General features: G+C 34.6%; 1 protein-coding gene across 32 annotated transcripts in view; it reads right to left on the bottom strand.

The window, feature by feature from the left end:
* Positions 1–22,140, bottom strand: part of NLGN1 (neuroligin 1) — an 898,421-nt gene that overhangs the window by 650,365 nt on the left and 225,916 nt on the right. The gene's annotated exons all lie outside the window — the stretch shown is intronic.

Below are 22,140 nucleotides of genomic sequence, written 5' to 3'. Positions count from 1 at the left end.
AGGGCTCAGGTGATCTGCAGCTGGTGGACTGGCAGCTTCCATGTGTGCCTTTTATTTGGGCATCCTGTTTGCTGGTTCCGCTGATGTATGTTTTTATAATTAAAATAGAGAGAAAGTCAAGTGTGGTGGCACACACCTGTACCAGTGCACATGATGGCACACTCCCAGTTATTTGGGAAGCTGAAGTGGCAGGATCACTTGAGCCCAGGAGTTCAAAACCAGCCTGGGCAGCATAACCAGACTCTATCTCTTTCAGTGAGTAAGAGTCTTGTTTCCCCAACTCTGGTAGCCTGGTTGCAAACATAAAGAGGTCACTAGGATTATTTTTTCCCCAGTATGCCCAAATAAAGCTCAGTAACTTTCACACTAACATTCTTACATGTCAATCGAGTGAATGAGGAATGAGCATCTGTTTCCATTGTACAAATGTGGTACAAACTGCTGACAGCTTTTTGATTTTTGCTTTTGAAAGTACTGTACTTTGAAGTACTTTGCTCACCCTTATTTTCACTTACATTGTTTCTGATTAAAATTCTGCTGCTATTATCTTCTTCTGTATGCCTAGTGTATTTTCCTTCTCAGATGATTTTTATATGCTCTTATTACCATTATTTTCAAGCAATTTCATTATGATGTGCATGTTGTCATTTATTTTGTGTTTCTTGTGATTGGGGCTCATAGAACTTCTGGGATCTATAGATGTATAGTTTTCATCACATTTAGAATTCTCTCAACAATTGTGTCTTCAAATATTTTCTGTAACCCTTTCTCTCTACTCTGCTTTAGAGAATTCAGTTATGCACATATGAGGTCTCTTAAAGTTGTGCCACAGATAGGTCGCCAAAGCTCTCTCTATTTTTCTAAATTTTCTTTTCTCCGTTTCATCCTGAATAGTTTCTATTGCTGTGTCTTCAAATTCACTTCTTTTCTTCTGTGATGTTAATCTGCTCTAATCACATTCAATGTATTTTTCATCTTACATATTATAGGTTTCATGTTTAGAAGGTAGCTTCAGATGTGTGTATATATATACACATTTTATATTTAACTTAAAAATATTTAATACAGTTATGACTTTTAATGTCTTGTCTGCTAATTCTAACGTATTGGTCAGTTCTAGTACAGTGTCAGTTGACTTAGTATTTTACTTATAAAGGGTCATACATAAGTACTTTTTTTGCATACTTTGCAACCTTTGATTGGATACCAAACATTTTGAAATTTATCTTATTGGGTGCTGGATATGTTTGCAGCCCTAAAAACATTCTTGAGCTTTGAGCTGAGCCTCTGTTAAGGTATATTACAACAGTTTGCAAAGCCTTTTGAATCTTGCTTTAAGAAGTGTTAAGTAGGTACAGGGCAGCACTAGATCTAGGGTTAATTACTTTCCACCAAGGCAAGAACTTCCTGAGTACACTACCCCATGTCTCATGAATTAATTTGTCAGTTTAGCTGGTTAGCAGTGTGCATCAGTTCTAGTTTTGTTTACACATCATACGTTGGTCAATGTAATGGTTTTGGCAAATTCTTTCCCTGAACTGTGATGGCTTCTTCACATGCATGTTTTAATCATGGTGCTTAATACTCAAGGGAGACCCCCCAATGCCCCCGTTGCCACCCACAGCCACTTTGGTCGGCTGGACTGCATCTCCCCAGTCCTGAGAGTCGGCTAGATTCCATCTGGGTTTGTCTTTCCTATAGTGTAGTCTGAAAACTCTCAAGGCAATAAATTGGGAGAGTTGTATGGCATATTTTGCCTGTTTTTTTGTTTCTCAGGATTTGTTCTCTTTCATCTTCATTGTCTGACATCCATTGTATTGGAACTCCTTGTTTCCTATAATTTATTTAATTTAGTTTAGTTTTGTGTTTTGGTTACTTTAGGCAAGAGGTAGATCCAGTCTCTGTTACTCCATTTTGGCCAGAACAGAAGTAAAATCATGACATTAAAATATATATATATATGGAGAAAGAGAGAGAGAGAGAGAGAGAGAGAGCAGTCCACTGAAAGCATCTATATAAAATACTGGCAAACTTTTTTTTTCTTGTAAAGGGTAAGATAGTATATATTTTAGACTTTGCAGCCATATGGTCTCTGTTGCACATAATCAACTCCGCCATTGTAGTGTGAAAATAGAAATACATAATATGTAAACAACAGAGCATAGCTGTTCCAATAAAATATTATTTACAAAACCAGGAAGTAGATTGGATTTGCTTCACAGGCTCTAGCCTACCCACTTCTAATCTAGGTCAATGCCACCCCAGTAACAAAGATTAAACCTAGTATTAACATCTTGTTTTCAAAATATTATACTCCATTTAAAGAAATGAGAGTTTCTTAGGAAATGCCTTAATTTCAGTTTGAGGCAACAAAGTACAAAGTGAGCTTGAGACAAGGTAAGAAATACCCAGATATGGGCCAGGCACAGTGGCTCATGCCTATAATTCCAGCACTTTGGGAGGCTTAGGTGGGTGGATCACCTGAGGTCAGGAGACCAGCCGGGCCAACATGGCGAAACCCTGTCTCTACTAAAAATACAAAAATTAGCTGGGCGTGGTGGCACACACGCCTGTAATCCCAGCTATTTGAGAAGCTGAGGCAGGAGAATAGCTTGGCAGTGAGCCGAGATCGTGCCACTTCACTGCAGCCTGGGCGACAGAAGGAGATTCCATCTAAAAAATAATAATAATAATAAAAAGAAGTACCCAGATATTAATGGGATCAAAAGTAGCTGAAGTGAAGGAACTTGAAGGGGCCAACTTTAGATATTAGAGTATAAGAAAGAATAATGAATTAATTTACTATAACAAAATTAAATGGTGTTTTAGAAAGAATAACAAGTACAAAGGGATTAGAAAATTACAAATTTGCTTCATATCCTCTAGTGTAATGATTTAGTCACTCAAGGATTATCAAGAATACTAGGAAACAGAAGAGGTACACTATCTTAAAATATCTCAAATACTTCAAAATATCACTCCATAGTTTGATTATTAATCATGAAGAGAAAAATGTACTTTTTAAATGGTAAAATATGATGGGCACTGTCTTAACCAAGTGTTCAAATATATAGTATCATAAATAATAGAAAGCCCTGATATGATTTGCTTTCTAACAAAAGTAAGCAACAACCCCTAAGTAATATTCTTGCCAAAGTGTTTAATCTGATCTAACTATGACAAGATAATGAAACAAATACAGAATGTGAATTATTGTAAGCAACGTTTGGACTTGGCCATAAAAAGACATCAGGGTCATAAAAAACCAAAAAATTAGAATGTGGGGCAACTAATTTAAGACATAGTAAATGGACGGTTCATGAATTTTGATTAACTCCTGGATGGAAAATTCAAACACCGAAGTTATAAAAAACACTACTTGGGTCAATTAGGTAAATTTAAATATGGACTCTATGTTATCAGATTATTGTATTAAATAAATGTTAATTTTCTTAGATATGATAATAGCCTTACGGTGAAAGTCATTATTCATAAGAGATACGCATTGAAGTATTTTGTTGTGAAGTGTCCTGCTATCTGTTAGTTTAAAATGATTCAAAAACGTTGTCAATAGATAGATAAAAAGATAAATATAAATGATATGTATAAAAATACTAACAATTAATGAACTTAGGTGAAGAATATAAAGAATGTTTATGGTATTCTTCTATAAGAAGAATATAATACTAAAATGCCAAAAATTAAATTTTTGAAGAAATATAGACCTTTCTTCTAAAATGTAAAATTTCCCTCATTAAAATACAGGCTTCAGATGACTGACTTTAGAGTCTATCTGATCATCAGACTGTTCCTCTGAATAATTTTACTGAGAAATAGTTTTGGAAATAATTTGCAATTTATCCTTTATATGTTACATACTTGGTACATTATGCATCATTATATTATGCACCCCGTTGTCCTTGAAAGATGACATATTAAGCAACATGTAGATAGGTGATTTTAAAAGCTTTTTTCAATAATGAATTAGAATATTGCAGTTTAGACTTTCAATAAAAGCTAAACATGGAAGGAGGAAAGAAGGGAAAAGAAATGGGAAGAAGAAAAGAGACAGAAAGAGAGGGAAGGAGATGAAAGAGAGAGCAAGAAAGGAAGGAGAAGGAGGAAAAAAGAGAAGAAAGAAAGGAAGGAAGAAGACTCCACAAACAAGAAAAGGAAAGAGGCAGACAGACAATTGCTTAGTGAACATTATAAAATGTGCAGCATTCCCTGAGGACAAACCATTTCCTTAACCAGATCCTGGGCTTCCAGTTGTGAACTCATTAAGCCCCATATTCCAGCATCAGTCTTGGCTTTTCTCTGGGAGACTCTCAGGATTTCTAGTCTAGTAGTTCAGGAGAATCATTGCTAGTCCAAAACAATTGCTAAGTCTTGTTCTGATCATCTTAAAACTGGTCTAATAATTATATTTCTGCACTTAAATCTCATTTTCAATAAACACATCCCCATAACAGTCCTCCATGTCTAACCATGAACCTGTCCAGTGCTATTCCCTATGACTGGATGCCAACCTTATCCCTATCAGTTTTCACAAGACCAGAGAAGGCTGAAAGGCTACCCAGCAGCTGAGGTCTGGCCCAGTTCTCCCAGCGGTCAGAGATGCCTCAACAGCTTGCTTGCTGCCAGACCAAGTTCTGTCCCCTTCAGTCCACTGATTGACCCAAATTAGCCACCTGTCTCGTTGAACCTCCAAGACTGAGACATCCCAAATGACTGCCTCATTCCATTGCTGCTTGGCAGCATTCCCCTAGAATGCAGCCTTAACTGAGCCAGAAAGAACATGCAGGCCAGGAAAATTGTTTATTGCTTGAATATTTTATTCTTAATGGCCTGTTCCATTCACATTTAGGGTGAGGAAGCAAACATAGTGAAATAAAATTCTAACAAGTGAAGCATTTTATATCAAAGATTCATGCCCAACAGTACAACTTCCTCACCCCTATGCTCACCAGTCCTTCAGCATTCCTGTTGAGCACACAACTGGCCAGACATAATACAAAGGCAGAACAATCACTTCTCTTGAAGTTTCAACTCTTTTTTTTCTGTTTTCATAAATACTACTCCTTTATTTATTCACTACCTTCCTATACTACATGCTGATATTCTATACCTCAGAAACAATTAATACCTATAATTAGCACATGAAAATTAATACATGAAAGGAATTCTTTCCTCCAAAATTACTGTGACACATCTCACAATGAACTTATAGGAAAAACACTGTGTAACCAGACTATGAACCATATTTTTAAAATTGATATTTCAATAAAGAGAACTCCCCTCATAGAGATTCCATCTCTGATTAAAATAATCCATTATGTGAAAGGGGCCTTAAAGTTACAATTCTTGTATACTATCTCATCAAATTGGTCATTAATTCTTGTGTGGTACGTACATTTTACAAAAGACAAATAAACATACCAGAGAAATTGAGCAACCTGACCTCACATGCTCAGCAGGTGATGAAAGGGAGCCTTTGTTTTTATTTAAAAAATAAAAACAAAATATTTACAAGAATATGATCTTAAATTTTATTTTAAAATTTAAATACCTCTTTTAATAAGGCTTGCACACCTGCAAATTTATTGGGTTTTTTTTTTTCATTTTATAATGATTTTTGCAGAACCTTTTCCCATTAAAGGATAAAATCAACATCTGTCTATTGAAGTTGACTGAACCATCAAACTCATTTTACACCCACTTCATTTCACAGCTACAATTACACTTCCTCAGCCTGGAACATCAAAACAGAGTCACAGCCAAGTTTTTCACCTTTATGGCTACATAAAAAAAAAAAATCTAACAAATGCATTCCCCTATTTATTCATTGGTTAAAAAACAAAACAAAACTATACTGAAAAAAAAGTGAACTGGCGTAAAACAGGAGTTTCATCATAGGTGAAAAAAAAATCGTATCTCAAGTTCCAGATTTCTGGGAGATGGAGGAAAAGTAAATATCTCTATTAAAATCTACTGGCACACCTATTAGTATATATCTTCAATTGCAGTGAATGGTTTATCATCAAAGTTTCACAATTTTCCAAATGTCGAAAGATAAGGGAATGAAACGCCGTCTCTGGTGATTTTTATGTGGGTGTGTAAGACCAAATCCCAAACACAGATACAAAGAAACGAAAATACTAATTGAAGTTTATATCCTATGTAACCTATGGCACGCTAGGATGACTGAGGCATAAAAGGAACCATTTTCATGGTTCTGCATGATAGTATACCTAGCCCATGCAACTTCCCATTGGTCTTTTCACCCAAGGCTCAATTCTATGTTGTAAAGTATCATGGAAGCTTCTCAGAGAACAAATATCTGTCCTACATAGACATGCCTCATAACATCATAGTATCTCAATATCCTAGCTGTAAAATAATGCCTGTGGAAGCAATTAAGAGTCATACAAATCAAATTCTCATTATATTGTGGGCTTTAAATAAGCATGCTGCCATTTGACTACTTTATTAAAAGATTATTTTCAGCATTTTACAGTAACTAGAACAAGAGAATATAAAAAGCTTATATGAAAGAAATAGTGGTAAAAATTATTCTCTATATGATTCACACCAATAGGGGTCATTTAGTTTAAATGTTATTCAGATGTAAAGAATGGACCACTCTGTCCACTATTCCTTTTAAGTACCATAATAGCAGGACAGATGAAAAAGCAAGGAGCAACGAAATTATTCTCAATATTTTAAACTCCACATATTTCCAAAGATATTTTATGATAAACTGCCTTCTAGATACAGTTACCTACTCATTCCATAGTAGGCCTCTTTAATGATTTTCATTGACCCTCAGATTTTGAAGCTAGGTGAGTCCCTATACAACCAAGTTTTTTGTTTGGGAATAAAGAATGTTCCACATCACCGAGTGTTTGCTGTTCAGGCAAAGTAACTATTTTTTTAAGAATTTATCTTATTCACTATAAGACTAACACAAGGAGACAAAAAGTTCTCAGAATTTATCTTATTTCTCTTTGCACTTTGCACAATAAAGTTAACAGCTGAGACTGTATTTATTTTTCACACTAGCTTAAGCATAGCACTGTCTTATAAGGAGATACCCCATTGTCTTTTCTTGACCTCTTTTCACTGCAAAACATTTTCATTCTAATTCTTTATGTTTAATTTCTAATTTTATTCATTATTACAATATTTTACAGTATAGGTGTTAATGACCCCATTAGTGTCCAAGAGAAATGAGTCATTTTACAAAATAATCTATCTTTATACAAGATAATCTATCCTTAATGTTGTTTCAAGTTAAAAATCCCCATACAACTATTTCCCAGGTAGTCCCAAGAGTGGACAAAAAGTTTAAAATAATCATGTTTTGAAATTCCAAACCATGAACTCAATTTTCTTGGCTGGGAAAATTTTAGTTATATCATACCAAAGAATATTCCAGTCTGAAGAGCAAAAAAAAACGATATGCTAAGAGTAGAATAAGGAGTGCTCTGATTAACAAAACAAAACAAATTAAATTAAATCAAAGGGAAAAAAAGAGAGACAGAAATGTCATCAACAAACTATGACCTTGAGGAAGATGCCCAGCTTGTGGACCTCGGTTTCCTAATCTGTAAAATAGTTATAATTTCCTTGAAGGAATAGAACCACCTCACTGCTTAATTAGTTATACAGTGAAAACGTCTGTTGATAAAAACATTGCTTTTTTTTTTCCTTTCTTTTTTGGCTCTGGTGGACATACCCAAAAAAAACCAGTGTGCAAATGGAGAGTTCTGTGCAGGGATGCAGCAGCGGTGGGGTAGGAGGAATGACAGACATCATTTACATATGGCATGTTTCCTCTTTCGCCAACTAATTACATTCTACTAAACAACAAGTTGATAAATACCATCGTTAAGTTCTTTTCTTACTTTTCATAGAACTGTAAAAACGATAGGCAATTTACCAAATAACAGATTAAAATAATTTCAAAGCAGGAAATAAAACACTGCCACCCTCGATAGCAAGGCCAATAAATATACTACAGTCTCTTCTGCTGTGGAACTGCACATAAGGAGCCTGCCGAGTGTTCTTGATCACTATCTTCTTTCACATCTATTTATTAATAGATTCCATAGTAAAAAAAAATTCAATAGAAATGTGAGTCTCATTTTACTGAACATAAAACTCACTCCTTTCAGAAATGTTTTATCCAATTAACTTAAGTCCCCATAGACATATTTCCTAATCATTTTGAGGAAGAAGGAATGATACTTCAAGGTTTTCATTGATATAAAATATGCCTCTAATTAATAACAGTAATGAGAAAATTAAGATAATAGAAGTAAATCATTTCTAAGTATAGAAAGCACCCAAACAAAGAAAGAATTCAGATTTTTGTTAGTTCCTGGCCGGGTGATCATTTATTTCCAAAAACGTGTTTCCTGAAATCATTTTCTTTAGAAAAATTTTACGTGTTTCTTCTGGAAATACAGTTAAGACAGTATAGATATTTGTGACTGTTTTTCTCTTTCGACAAACAGAAAAATGAACCTAGACCTTCAATACAAAACAGAGTAGATGAATAATAGTTTTTCAAAAATAGAGATACGGCTCAACTGTGATTGCCATTATACAGTAATTCGCATTTGTTTGAGAACCAATGAGAATTAATGCAGCAAACAGGAGCTCCCTTGTCCTTATTTGCAGGAGTGGTATTGTTCCAAAGATAATAACTCCCTATAAACTGAAATTACTTAATATCTCTGAGTCACAGGAGTAAAAATAAAGCAGAAATGATAATACTTGTCTCTTAAGAAACTGTAGGGAGTAGATGATGTGTATATAAGAAGCAAAGGGCAGGTGGGAACATAAAATACTCTGTAGCTATTTTGTTATCATTCATATTATTAATATAACTATTAATGTTGTTAGACAAAATAAGTGTTCACAGACCTGCAAAACATAAAGCAGAGTTTTATTAACTTTTTTTTACATGTGCTACATGTGTTATATTTTAGAAGAGATTAAAAATTTAGTTAACCTAACCATGTCTCATAATGATAAAATCCCTGCATTGTGGAGAAGGGCGCTCTCCCCTTGTCTGTTACACGCCTACTTAGAGGTCCTATTGCCATCTCAAGGGATCCTTCCCTGACAGCGCTTTCTGCATCTCTCAGCCTCAGTCCTCCTTCAGTCCTATCCTGGTCCAGCTCTCTCTGTCTCAGATGTGGATCACCCAGGGAAGAAACTACCTTACTCTTCTTCTCAGTTCCAATTTTGCCTTCAAGTGGATGAGCAATCCTCCTAAAATATAGTTCTTAGTAAGAACAGTAAATAGACTCAATTATAAATGCAATAAATAAAATAATACTATGCATTTAAAAATACATTTTCAAGGTGAAAATGATTAAATGAATCATGACACTTTCCTCCTACCACATATATATTACAAATTAGTCAAAAAAGATATGCATTACTGATGTGGAAAGAGGTCTATAATTTATTGCTAGTTGAAAAGAAGAAATTGTTTAATGGTATGTATTGTGTCATCTCATTTTGTAAAAAAGTAAATTATGTACTAATGCATATAAGTATTTGAAATATGCAAGTAAAAACATATTACATGAGGCACAGTAATATACATATTTGTTCATAGTGACCATATATTTTGGATGAGATTGGGGGATCTTGGAGAAGATTTTATTTACTTATTTCTTTTATAGGGGATGTAATACTCATTTTAAATAATTTTCTTTTTTTATTTTTAAACCACATTTTATCATATGTACTCTTAACAAATTGTCTAGTGATTTTGAAGAAGTCAGTGGGAATTTTTTATTTATTTTATCCAATATTGTATTGTTTGCTTTTCTTTCAAAACAAAGAACACGTATTTCTTTAGAAATTAAAAAAACTTAAAATCCCATAATGTTTTTAATTAAAAATGTGGATTTAGGCAAGGTTACCTTTATTGGCAGATACAGCCTTGAGTAGATTGTTTTTATTCTAGTAGAGAATTACTTAGGCAAGTTGTCATTTATCACATCATCTCAGAATTCTATTAAAATGGGCAACAGAACAATGCCTTACAGTGTTGTGAGTATAAGCTAATATAAGTGGATTATATGTAAGAGGTTTAACAAGCTATGGGGATCAGAAAGGGTTATGGAAAAAAAGATCCAGTTCGATATATTCTCTTTTCCTATAAATACTGTACTGCTAAACGATAATTAGAAGATAAGGAGAATCGGGGAGTTTTGTTTTTTTACTGGTCTTAGAAGTCTAATATTCTTCACCCAATAGACTTCACCAGAATTTATTTTCTTAGAGAAGCTGTTTCTCAGAAAAGCCCAAAGGGCTGGCCTACCTTCTCAGATGGCACTTCCCCTGCCTGTCACTGAAGCTGTCAACCCATAGGGTCATTTTTGAATGCTATGGTAAAATGTTTGAATTAGATATTTCTGAGGTTCTTTCCATAGGGTGAACTTCTAGGCCACCAAATTCCTCTTTCCAGGAACTTACAAAATCTTCTATTTCTTAAAGATCAGTTGTAAACACTTACCTTGTAGCTCAATGATAGGAATGGCAGCTATATTTGGCTAAGAACACACAACAGGTGAAACTGCCCTAGGGAAATGTACATTAAAAACACTGAAAGCAAGACAAATGACTGCAGACCAGGCATCAAGGCCAAGTGTGGACATGAATAATGCTAGAAAAGTTTGCAGAGGCCAAGCCATGGAGGATCTTACATGAAGAGCAATTGAACACCACAGAAGGTTTCAAACTTGTTATGGGGTTCAGAAAGATGGTGAAATAATCTCAATTATGATGTGAAAATGTCAACATAAGTCAGCTGTGTCAATCCTTGGCTCAGAACTCTACAAAGTCTCCTTGTCCCAAACAAAGTAAAAGCTAAAGTACTTCTAGTTCCCTACAAAACATTCTATGATCTAGGCCCCCATTTATCAGATTTTAATTCCCACTAATCTTTTTTACACAACAAACATTTCATGGTATCACAAGAGAAAAATATTTTAAGAGCAAACAACAATCATTTGGCCACCAAGATAGTTTGCTTGAAGCAATTACACTCATACTGCTCTCAGGCAGCAAGTACTAAAGCAGTCCCATATCATCCCTTTTTGAGAAGACAACTATTAAAAAAAAAAAAAAAAAACAAAAAAAAAAACACTACTCAAGGAGGACTTCTCTAAAATCCTGTCTATTTATACAATGAATCCACAATATTAGGGAAACATAAATGTCTGGCTGCTTTCCTTGGCTCTAAATCTCAAAAAGGAAGGATTGGAAGGTGGGAATCCAGTCAGCTACAGGAAATCCTGTCCCTTTGAGATTTTCAAGTGATGCAAATATTTGAGCACCCAGCTGGTATTCAAATATCTAACGATGAATTGACTGAATTCTCTGAACTTCTCATGAACATAGGTATGACAGAGCTAAAAATGAACCAAGGCCATTTTTTTCTGCTGCACTTAATTTATGCTCATTCTTTGAGTATGTGTATGTTGACCAACAACACAAGCATTGCTTCACATAAAATAAACTCCCAGTGACTACAGGCATCTTCCACAGATTTGGATGCACCAAAATTTGTGAAAGGGAAGCAAGATGAACTTCGTCACTTGATTCCTAGAAATTTCTCAGCTACTTTTCCCAGATACTCTGGGGGAAAATGAAGCAGAACAAATGTTTGCACAACCACCATTTGGGAAGCCCCATGTCACAACAAAAATATCTAACAAAATTCAAGAAACACAAAGTGATATGTACAGCATACTAAACCCATTTCCAACGATGCTGCCCTCAGCAAAATGAATATGTTCCTTTTTTTCCTCTAAGAGAGGAAGACACTTCATTCCCTACAATCTGGAATGCTCAAGATAGACACTGCAGATGTATCTGAAAACAAACTTCTATGTTGTCAGCAACTCACGAAGATTGAAGGCTGCCTCCTAGTATTGCTAGATTTAAAGTTACGGCAGCATTTCTATTATAAATACAATTTTCCAAGGGTTTATAACCCAGCTGTAAAAAATCTGCTACAGGATCATGTTTTGTAGGCTTAAGAAAAAAGAAAAATATTAAAGTTCATTACAAAAAAAAAGAACATTTTAAATTTCATCTTGAAATTCTAAATATGATTGAATAATTTTCACCCAAAACTTAATTTTAATAAGTAAATTTCATTCAGTAAAATAAATAATGCATGAAAAATAATGACCAGAAATTTATGAGATGAAAATCTATTTTAACCTATTCTGAGTGCATGTTGGAAAATAACTTTGAGCAAATAACTATATCATTCTAGAGTAAATTTGACTTTGTTGGACTAGATTTACTCTCGTAACCATGGTTATAGATAATTATGAATATCTATATTTACCAAGTTGCCAAATGATGTTATACTTTAAAAATAACTCCGGGGCAAAAACCTGCTTCATGAAGTACGAAGAGAGAAGTAAAATCCTTACTCCTGGTAGCCTCTGTTTCTTTCTGATACATACACAGAAATTCATACAAACACTTGCCGTCCCTTCAACATACACAGATTCACATACACACAGATACACACACACCAAGTGCAAAGCTTTTGGTTGTTTTTTGCTGTTCGGGAGTAAAAGGCAGGTCAAGTCTCTGAATAAATAAGAAAGGGGAAAAGAAGGAAAGTCAACCCTTAAAGAGATATATATAATCTACACTTAGAAAGGATGGACAAATAGTGTTAACAATCTTTTGCAAAACAATAAATTTGTATTCTCCACATTGTTAGAATCTTCCCTCTGCCTGCTTAGCAGAGTATTCCTTACTCAGCAGTCATTTCATAGAGAGTTGATAATGATAATGAGTGAAACCACAAATTTAATTTAAAATAACCACTTTCAGAGTGAACTTGTTGTTCCTCATTTAAATCTGAAACTACCCACACAGTTACCAATCAGAAGAGATCACAAAGAAGGCGGAGCAGTCACAGCAGAACTTCATTGCCCTGAGAAGGCAACTTGCCTTCTCGCTCTCTTCTTGGGACTTTCTTTGAAGCTCCCCATCTGGACCAGCTTCCACTAGACCACACCTCTAGATGCTTTTGATTTTGTACTGCCCCTCTCAAGTTTCATCTCTCCCAAGAGTCTCTCTTTTTCCAAATTTCAATAACTCTAATATTTGCATACGCTGTTAATTGGGGTACCAAATCAAGAAGTTTATGGCATGTAAAAGAAAATGTAAGTAAGGCATGTCAGAAGAATATTGTTCTGTATTAAGAAAACATGTTAAGGAAGGGACTTTTAAAGAATACTGGTACCTAGTAAGAGATGTCATTGAAGAGATAATAAATAGGCCTCACAAAGGATTGAGTTTCTCTCTGTGGAAGAGAAGAAATTTTGAAGGATGATACTATTAAATTAGAATGATGTTAAAAATAGATGACTGAAAAAAAAGTGAATCTGATTTTTAAAGGTCAGTAAGATGTACCTAGAAAAAAATACTAGACCACTTGATTTTTAGGGAAATGCAGAACACTGCCATCCATGCATATTTTAATAAAGCTTTTCTTTTTCCTTTTTTTTTTAAATTCTTAGCTTATACCGAGCTTTATGTTGAAATGTCCTTTGGTTTCTGTCTTCTTAAATGTAGCAGACTTATTCCCAAATTAAAGAAAATCAGATAAGTATGTGACTATTACAGTTAGGGATTCTAGAACTTAACATTCATTATATAAATAGATCACTGTTCACTGTTCAGGATGTCAATAGAGGGAAATATTAATTCTGTCCCTTGGAATTCTTCCTCATACCTTGGAAAGAATGTCAAACACTTAAGCTCTTTTCTCCTTGTTGTGTAGACTTGGTAATAACTTCTAAAATAGCTTACTTTCCCAATTACACTTACTGGCTCTGATTTTGTTCATTATCCCAGACACGTCTCACATGTAACCTAGGAACATAGTTTATTCTAAAGACAAGCATTTTTCCCACTCCTTTCCTTTGTCTGTAAAATAGAAAATACTTCTCAAATAACCCCTTGTCCTCTTTAACCTTCAGCATTTTTTAAGTTCTCCTCTATTTTTGGCATACACTATCTTTTTTAAAAGTTTCTATAAAGGTTAGAAAAGGAATTTATTGAATTTTAGAAGCATATTCAATGAAAATTGTACAAGTCTGATAAACTCTGAAGTGGAGATTGATTTTTTCAATGTTTTAACACAGTCGTGTCTCTTTTTTTTAAGCAATGGAGAGATATACATTTATAACAGCAATATTAAACAAGGTGTCAAGGAGCTGGAGATAAAGGCATTAGTTATGCATACATGATTCAAAGGAGTTGTCTAATAGAAACTTGATATACAACTTGCTAAAAGCCCTTTGTCTAAGGATTTCCAAGTGTCAAATAACCTTTCACTGGATATTTTATGACCTATTGTTACCTAGATCTTCATTCAAATATAACTTATAATTTTTCTTTTACTAATCATACCTAAAGCTAAGTCTCTGAATAAAGAATATGTCTTTTTAATTTAAAAATATTGTTAATTAATAAAGGTAATTGTCTATTGATCATTTGCTATTCTTAATATTTAATTTTTAAGAAATTGGAAGCTGGGCACAGTGGCCCACACCTGCAATCCCAGCACTTTGGGAGGCCAAGAATGGAGGATTGTTTGAGCCCGAGTTTCCAATACCAGCCTGGGCAACATAGCAAGGCCCCCACTCTACTAAATAAATGATAAATTAGAGATGGTGTTTGCCAGCCTAATGAAGATTAAATCAACTCCAGCCTGGGAATATGATCTATGCACAAAGAAATAATTGGATCCTCCTGTCTAGAAGACTGACCAAAGAAAGAAGCAACAAGATAGTCTAAAACTCAGGTATATCCCTTCACCATTGTGATTAAATTGAAAAATAAAAAAAAAAAAGGAAAGGATGATAAGCATCCTAAAATTACTTTTACAGTAATACTATTTATTTGTATAATGCTACATAATGTAGAAAGTGCTCTGATCTCACTGAGATAAGTAATAAAAATATTATATTCAGCGTGTAATCCCAGCACTTTGGGAGGCCGAGGTGTGTGGATCACTTGATGTCAGGAGTTCGAGACCAGCCTGGCCAACATGGTGAAACCCTGTCTCTACTAAAAATACAAAAATTAGCTGGGCATGGTGGTGCACGCCTCTAATCCCAGCTGTTAGGGAGACTGAGCTAGGAGAATCGCTTGAGCCCAGGAGACAGAGGTTGCAGTGAGCTGAGATCACGCCACCGCACTCTAGCCTGGGCAACAAAGCAAGACTCTATTTCAAATAATAATAATAATAACATAAATAAAATAAAATATTACATCCAGCTTCCTAGGGCAAAATTTTAAAGCTACATCAGACCCCAAGTAAGTTATTCTACTTAAAAAAAAAAGATGGTGTAGCCTAAAGTATCTCTAAAATTACTCCCAGTTTTATTAGACAGTAACTAACAATGTTTAACATATTGATTTAATATATATGTAAAACTTTACTTTGTAGTATTCTCTAACTTCTCTTTTTATGTGCATATTTACATTGACTTCTTTATTTTTATTGAATCATAGTGCAATACCTCTGCACATGTGGATGCTTATTAATGTCTACTGTAAAAGGCAAAACCTAAGGCATTTTCACATGCATTACAGGCAGAAAAAGTCAGTAGTAAACGAAGAATAAGGTGGGGTTGTTTAGCCCCCACCACCCAGTAGCTAAGTGAGCTCAACCTAAAGTTGATATCAAATGACATTCTCATACCTATAAACAAGAACAGAAAACAGTCTCCAGTAAGAAGAACATGTTACAGAGCAAGGTCATCCTAGAGGTGAGGACTCCAAGCCCTTAAGGGTAACCACAGGGCTCCGAAAAGCTTGCTTATCCAGGTGGGACAGGCCCCAGTCAGTACGGACTATTTTCAGTGCTTAAACTCCCAGCTATGCAGTGACAGAAGAAGAGAGCAATACCTGACAGGAAGAGAACCAAACATTCACACAAAAGATAAAAATACAAAGGAGAGAAGTTCAGTGGACAAATACTGGAATGAGGTATAAAATCAATATAAGCCTCATGGGAAGATGGCAAAAGAATTCAGATAATACACACAGATTTTCAGGAATAGCTTTTTTTTTTTCTGAACAGCCAACATTTTAAAATGAAGAGTCTCAGCTGAATGAAATATACAGTCAGCTGCTTGAATAACTTAAAGCATAAGTCCTTTTAAGAAAAAAAATGCCAAAAAAGGTACTTTCATTTGCTACAAACAAGCACAGAACTAGGAGAGATGATGCAAGTAATGAGTAGAATTTGGGCTCTAGGGATAATATGCTGGAAAATTACAAATTTCAGATGTTTCCATATAATATGCTCAACTTAAAACTATGGCAGATTCCTCAAAAAATTAAAAATAAAACTACCATATGATCTAGCAATACCACTTCTGGGTAGATATATCCATGGGAAATAAAATCACTCCCTTGAAGAGAGATCTTCACTCTCACGTTCATTACAGCATTATTCACAATAGCCAAGGTAGTAATGAACCTAAGTGTGCATTGAGAAACACATGGATAAAGAAAGTGATGTGTGTGTGTGTGTAATGGAAAAAAAAGAAGGAAATTCCGTCATTTCCAACAACATACATGAACCTGGAGTATGTTATACTAAGTTAAATAAGCAAAGCACAGAAAGACAAATACTGTGTGACCTCATTGATATGTGGAATCTTAAAAAGTCAAATTTGTAAAGCACAGAGTCAAATGGTGGTTTCCATGGGCTGAGGAGTGGGAGGAATGGGAAGATGGTCAAAGGATACAAACATTGTACACCTTAAATGCATACAAATTTTGTTTGTCAATTATACCTCAATAATACCGAAAAAACAAACAAACAAAAAACCCATGGTAGATCAGAGTAAAGAACAAAGGGAAAGAAAAATTATATCACTTTTGAGGACGTAGTTTACTTATGAGCCAGTCTTATGAAAATGTTTTTGTTTCCTAGTCAGTGACTTTCAAGGAGTGACTTGAAAGTCACTTCCTTTTTTAAGGAAAATCTACCTTTTCCTCCTGCTAGGATAGTTTTGCCAGTTTTTACAACAGCTATTTTTCCAAAATGAGGAACAGATTATGAATCATCAATACAGTCTTGAAGAAATTATTTGAAAAGTCACCAGTTATAATAATCTATTTTAAATCTCCCGAAGAAAAGGTGTGACAAGTTTGTAAACCAAGAGTCATAAAAACAACTAATAAAATATTTCCAAATGGTGACATCATTTTTCAGGGACCAGTTCTAGAATAGCCTAGGTATGTGGCCCACACTGGTCTATATCACTGGGAAAAAATATAGTAAACACTAGTTCCAGAAACAAAAACATAATTCTCATCTACTTTATATTTCTAAAAAATATTAGCAAAAGTGCCATATATAAAATAGCCCTTGATGTAACAGACTATTCTAAAGGAATTTTGCTTTAATTTTGAAACATTTATGACAAAATTTCAGCAAAAACTTCAAAGTAGTTAAAATAAATTTTACATTGTCCTATTCTCAAAATGCCTAAAAGTAAAAATAAACCACACATATTCTATTTGAACAAGTACCTTCTTGTGACAGTTTCTAGCCACTATCTTGTAAATTCAAAAATATAAAAATGTAAAGAATAAGATTTTACTCATATTTGAAAATCCAAGATGATTTTTCTCTTTCTCCTGGTAATACTAATATTCATTTCCAGCTGCACTGCCCAAAATGGTAGCAATTAATCATAGGTAGCTATTTAAATTTTAATTTATATTAATAAAATTAAATCAAATTAGTTTCTCAGTCACATTAGCCATGTTTCAAGCGCTTGATAGCTACATGGAGCTAGACGCTACTGTATTGGTCAGAGAAGATATAGAATATGTCTATGACCACAGAAAGCTCTATTGGATAGCACTAATATACAGGTTATAAACAGAGAAGGGACATTATACATTTGAATGTATTATGATATAGTTGCTAATAAAAACTCAATTACCAAAGCTGTATTTATTTTTACAAGAAAAATCACACTAAATTTCAAAACTGTTTCTATCATCTTTTATAGTGTAACAAAGTCCATACCCCAACAGAAAGTTTATTTCAATTTTATACTGAGCTCTTCAAACTGGAAATATGGTTTTAAATAAAAAGTCAATTGATTTGTATCTATAGACTACATAAAGACTTATTACATTAACATTCCAAGATTTTCTATGCAGATTCAGGTGAATAGGTTAGCCAAGTTAACCGAATACTCCTTAACCTCATTATTTTATCAGTTAATATCTCTTAATGTTTCATCAGTAAATAATATATCAATTTATTATTAATCTATAACTAGTACATAAAAGTTATTTAATAAACAGTTAATGATTTGTAACTTGAAACATTACAAACATTGAAAGCCTCTTGTCTTATCAAAGAAAAATGGGGAAGACAGAGACTTTCTCCACTTTTCCACATGCCCTTGGAAATTATTTGGAAAAGTGCAAAAGCATGAGTAAATGTACACATGTCACCATTTAAACAAATTTAGTACAGTCAACTGGCAAACCTAAATTTCTTTATTCAGCTGCAATCTAAGCAGACGTACCAGGATGGTGGTAGTGGTGGTACGTGTGCTGGGGGGAGGGGACAGGAAATAGTTAGGTACAATCATAAAATACTTACACACACATCTCAAAACACATCTTATGTCTAAAATACACATCATGAAAAATTTCCCTAGATTACAAAATGTCAGTCCCTTTCCTTACTTCTTTACCATTCTACTTTATCTGCCCATTTTTCTGCAAAATTAAAAAAGAGTGGGACTTCTGACAGTGGTATCCCCAGTTCCTTGATGACTCAAACTCAGCTAAGTACTGTTTAAATGTATTATAGTAAATCCAGAAACAATTGAGGACTCTCTAGTTAAAATCAGGGAAAAGGTAAGTGGGCAGAGTTAACAATATTTCACTCACTCATTCTCCACATCTGTCTGACCAGACTGACATGGATGAAATCACTGTCAACTAAGTTAAAGTTCAAGAAGACTCTCACCATCATCCCAAGTCTTTTAGGAACTATCTGAAAGCCTCCAGAAAAAAAATATAAATAAAGAGAGAGTGGATAAAATAGGAAAAAAAAAAACAATTATAAATCGTCATCTTCCTATTTAAAACCTATGAGCTATAAATTAGTCTGGGTAATACTACCATTGGTTTCCTAATATTATTTACCTTCTATTAGAATTAAGTAAATTAATTGAGAAACCTTCTGCTCATTCTTACTGCATGTGGTAGCTGTCTCACATTCATGTTGTTTACTACACAGTATAGTTAGCTGATTCAAATTATTCCCTGACAGATAAAACTAAGATATACAATATCATATCACAGCTAATTTATTTAAATTTGTATTCTAAATCTTCTTAAATATAAAGAAGAAATTGTCTCCTTAATGTATCCTTAATTCATTGTAGGAGGTGGGAGCAGGCATATCTGCAAAAGTTTCGCTTCTTGGAAACAGGGAAAACAGCAGCAGTAGCATGAGAAGAAAACATTAAAGATGGCATTTAAACTGTTGCAACAAATGAAACAAGCTCATGCTACATTAAATCCATGCATGAAGTGAAGTCTTGAAACTCATCCTCCTTACTAGAATTCTTGAAAAGTCAGTGAAGTAGGCAGAAAGTGCAGTCAAATATTAACCCTGTAATCTATTACAATTCCCTTTGTTCCTAGAAAGAATCTGAAAATGAGAAATCTTGCAACACTGAAGGTCATGAAGCCCAAACCTTCATCTCACACAAGTGAAAACTGAGGCCCAAAGCGATAAAAATGACTTGCTCAAATACACGGCAACAGAATGACAGAGCCAGAACAGGAAGCCTTGGGTCAAGAACTCTATCAACAGCTGACCTGTTGTTAGAGCCAGAGGGCCCTGCCCCTTTCATGGAGAACAACTCCTGAACTCTATACATGTTCTTCCAGGATTCCTATTTGTATTTGAAAAAAGAAAAAAGGCTAATAAAGTTATTTATTGCCTATCTTTTGGGGCCTTTTAAATAGATGTCAATGGGACGGCAAGATAATTTAAATATTTAAAAGATTTTTGAAATTCCTGATCAACTTCTTGTCAGATGGCACAAATGCAAAAGCCTATTTTTCACAAGACCCAGTCTCTTGTATCATCAATCTAACCAAAGACAACTGCCAAACTAATCTTCCTAAAACACTTTTAATCATGTCACTCTCTTACGCACAAACATCTGGTAGCTCCCCTTTGCCTACCAAATTAAAATCCTCACACTGGCATTCAACGCCCTTCACAATATGTCCCAATCAATCTTTCCTTCCTGGTACTTATTACCTGTTCCCCAGCTCAACTGCAGCCACGTGATGGTCACAAACCTTGTTCTTTCCCATCTCAATGCTTCTCTTTGCCCATGCTATTCTCTCTTGTTGGTACACATTCTCTCCTTCCATAGTGACCTGTCAAAAAGTCTATATTATTCAAGGCTATCTTAACTCTCATTATTTTCTGATTGTTCACTTTAACCTCATCCAAAACACATTCACAATTAGATATTACTCCTCCTCCCTTTTAACTCTCCAACAATCTGTTTTTTTTTTTCACAAAAATAATCACATTTCCCCATTTTTACACTATGTATGCACCTGTCCTAACTTCTTTTCCAATCAGACTGAACTCCTTGACACAGTCAGTGGGTCCCACTGCTATAAGCATCCAACTAGTATTGTTGACTTGCATGCCAAAGGGCTTTATGGACAGAATACATGAGAATGACTTAACCTTCACCGAGGTTTATGTAGAGGCCATTTTAGAGGCAGAATGGGTCTAAATACTATATGTTGCTGTCGAATGATTATGAAAAAAAACACGGTGCTGGCTCTTTGTGGTTTCATAGCCTAGTTCTTCATTCAGCTGAAGTTCCCTGGGACTCAACACTCCCTTGAGGGTATAGAATGCATTTAGAAGCTCTGTTAACGATTTCTGAAGAATTTATTTGCTAAATGATCTGGAAGGCTATGTGCAGCTTCCCCAAGGCCTACATTTGTTATTGAGCAGGAAGTATGGCAACTTGTGTTTAGTAATTGGGTCAGTTAGTAATTTTGTTCTTTCGGAAATATCAAACAATAAATAATTATTCTATTGGAATCACATTGTGGAAACTGTTGATTTACTTTCCTAATTTTTGCAACAAAAAATAGTTCTCAGCAATGTTAAATGCCATGGGTGTAATATCTGCCCTTTTAAACTACCTAAGGTGAAATAAAACCACTTCTCCGATGCAGTCCTGGCATCAGCATAATCATCTTACAAGTGGAAACTTCTGTTCATTTTTTAGAATCTTAAAATAAGCTTTGGGTTTTTTTTTTTCCTCCTCTTTTTACCGGGACTATTTTTCTTCTTCTTCCAGCAGGTCAGCATCGGAAAGCAATTTGGGCATTCTATCATGCTCTGATCTTTCCAGATGTCCTTGCCATTCCTTTTAGATACTTTTCTACTTCATGTCCCACATTCTGTATTCTCAGCCTCTCTCTGAGGTTTATGTGGTTTTAATGATCTAGGTGTATGAGTCTCAGGAAACAGCCTAACCAGTCCCATCTGTACTTCTCACAGCAAGACATGTGGCTTTCACTGCTTTCAAATTCTTTGGGTCCATTCCACTCCCATGCAGATAAACACAGCACTAGATGAGAACAGTTAAATGCTCAAAAAACAAGCTGAGTCTGTAATTGGCCTTGTATACATTCCTCAATCTTGGATTGTCATTGAAAATTATACTCAGACAGCCTATGGCAGTGGGTAGCCTTTAAAAAGAAAGGATTATGTACCCTATTCATTTCTCTTTTGGAAATCTAGAGCTATACACAGCTCAGAAATGACAGTAATAGAGAAATTTTAGTGCGTAAGATGTATCATCTTTTCTCCCTGCTTTGGTAAAAAATGAAAGGAGGATTTTTCAGTGCATTTCTTTGAATTGATGAGGTTAATATTTTATTTGAACACACTACAAAGGCATAAATAGCTTTTTTATACCTTTATATTGACAAGAATAAAGGAAAGAATGGTAAATTCATTCCCATGATCAATTT

This window comes from Homo sapiens, chromosome 3 (assembly GCF_000001405.40).
Source record: "Homo sapiens chromosome 3, GRCh38.p14 Primary Assembly".
NCBI lineage: Eukaryota > Metazoa > Chordata > Mammalia > Primates > Hominidae > Homo > Homo sapiens.
This window is presented reverse-complemented; position numbering and strand designations above follow the sequence as displayed.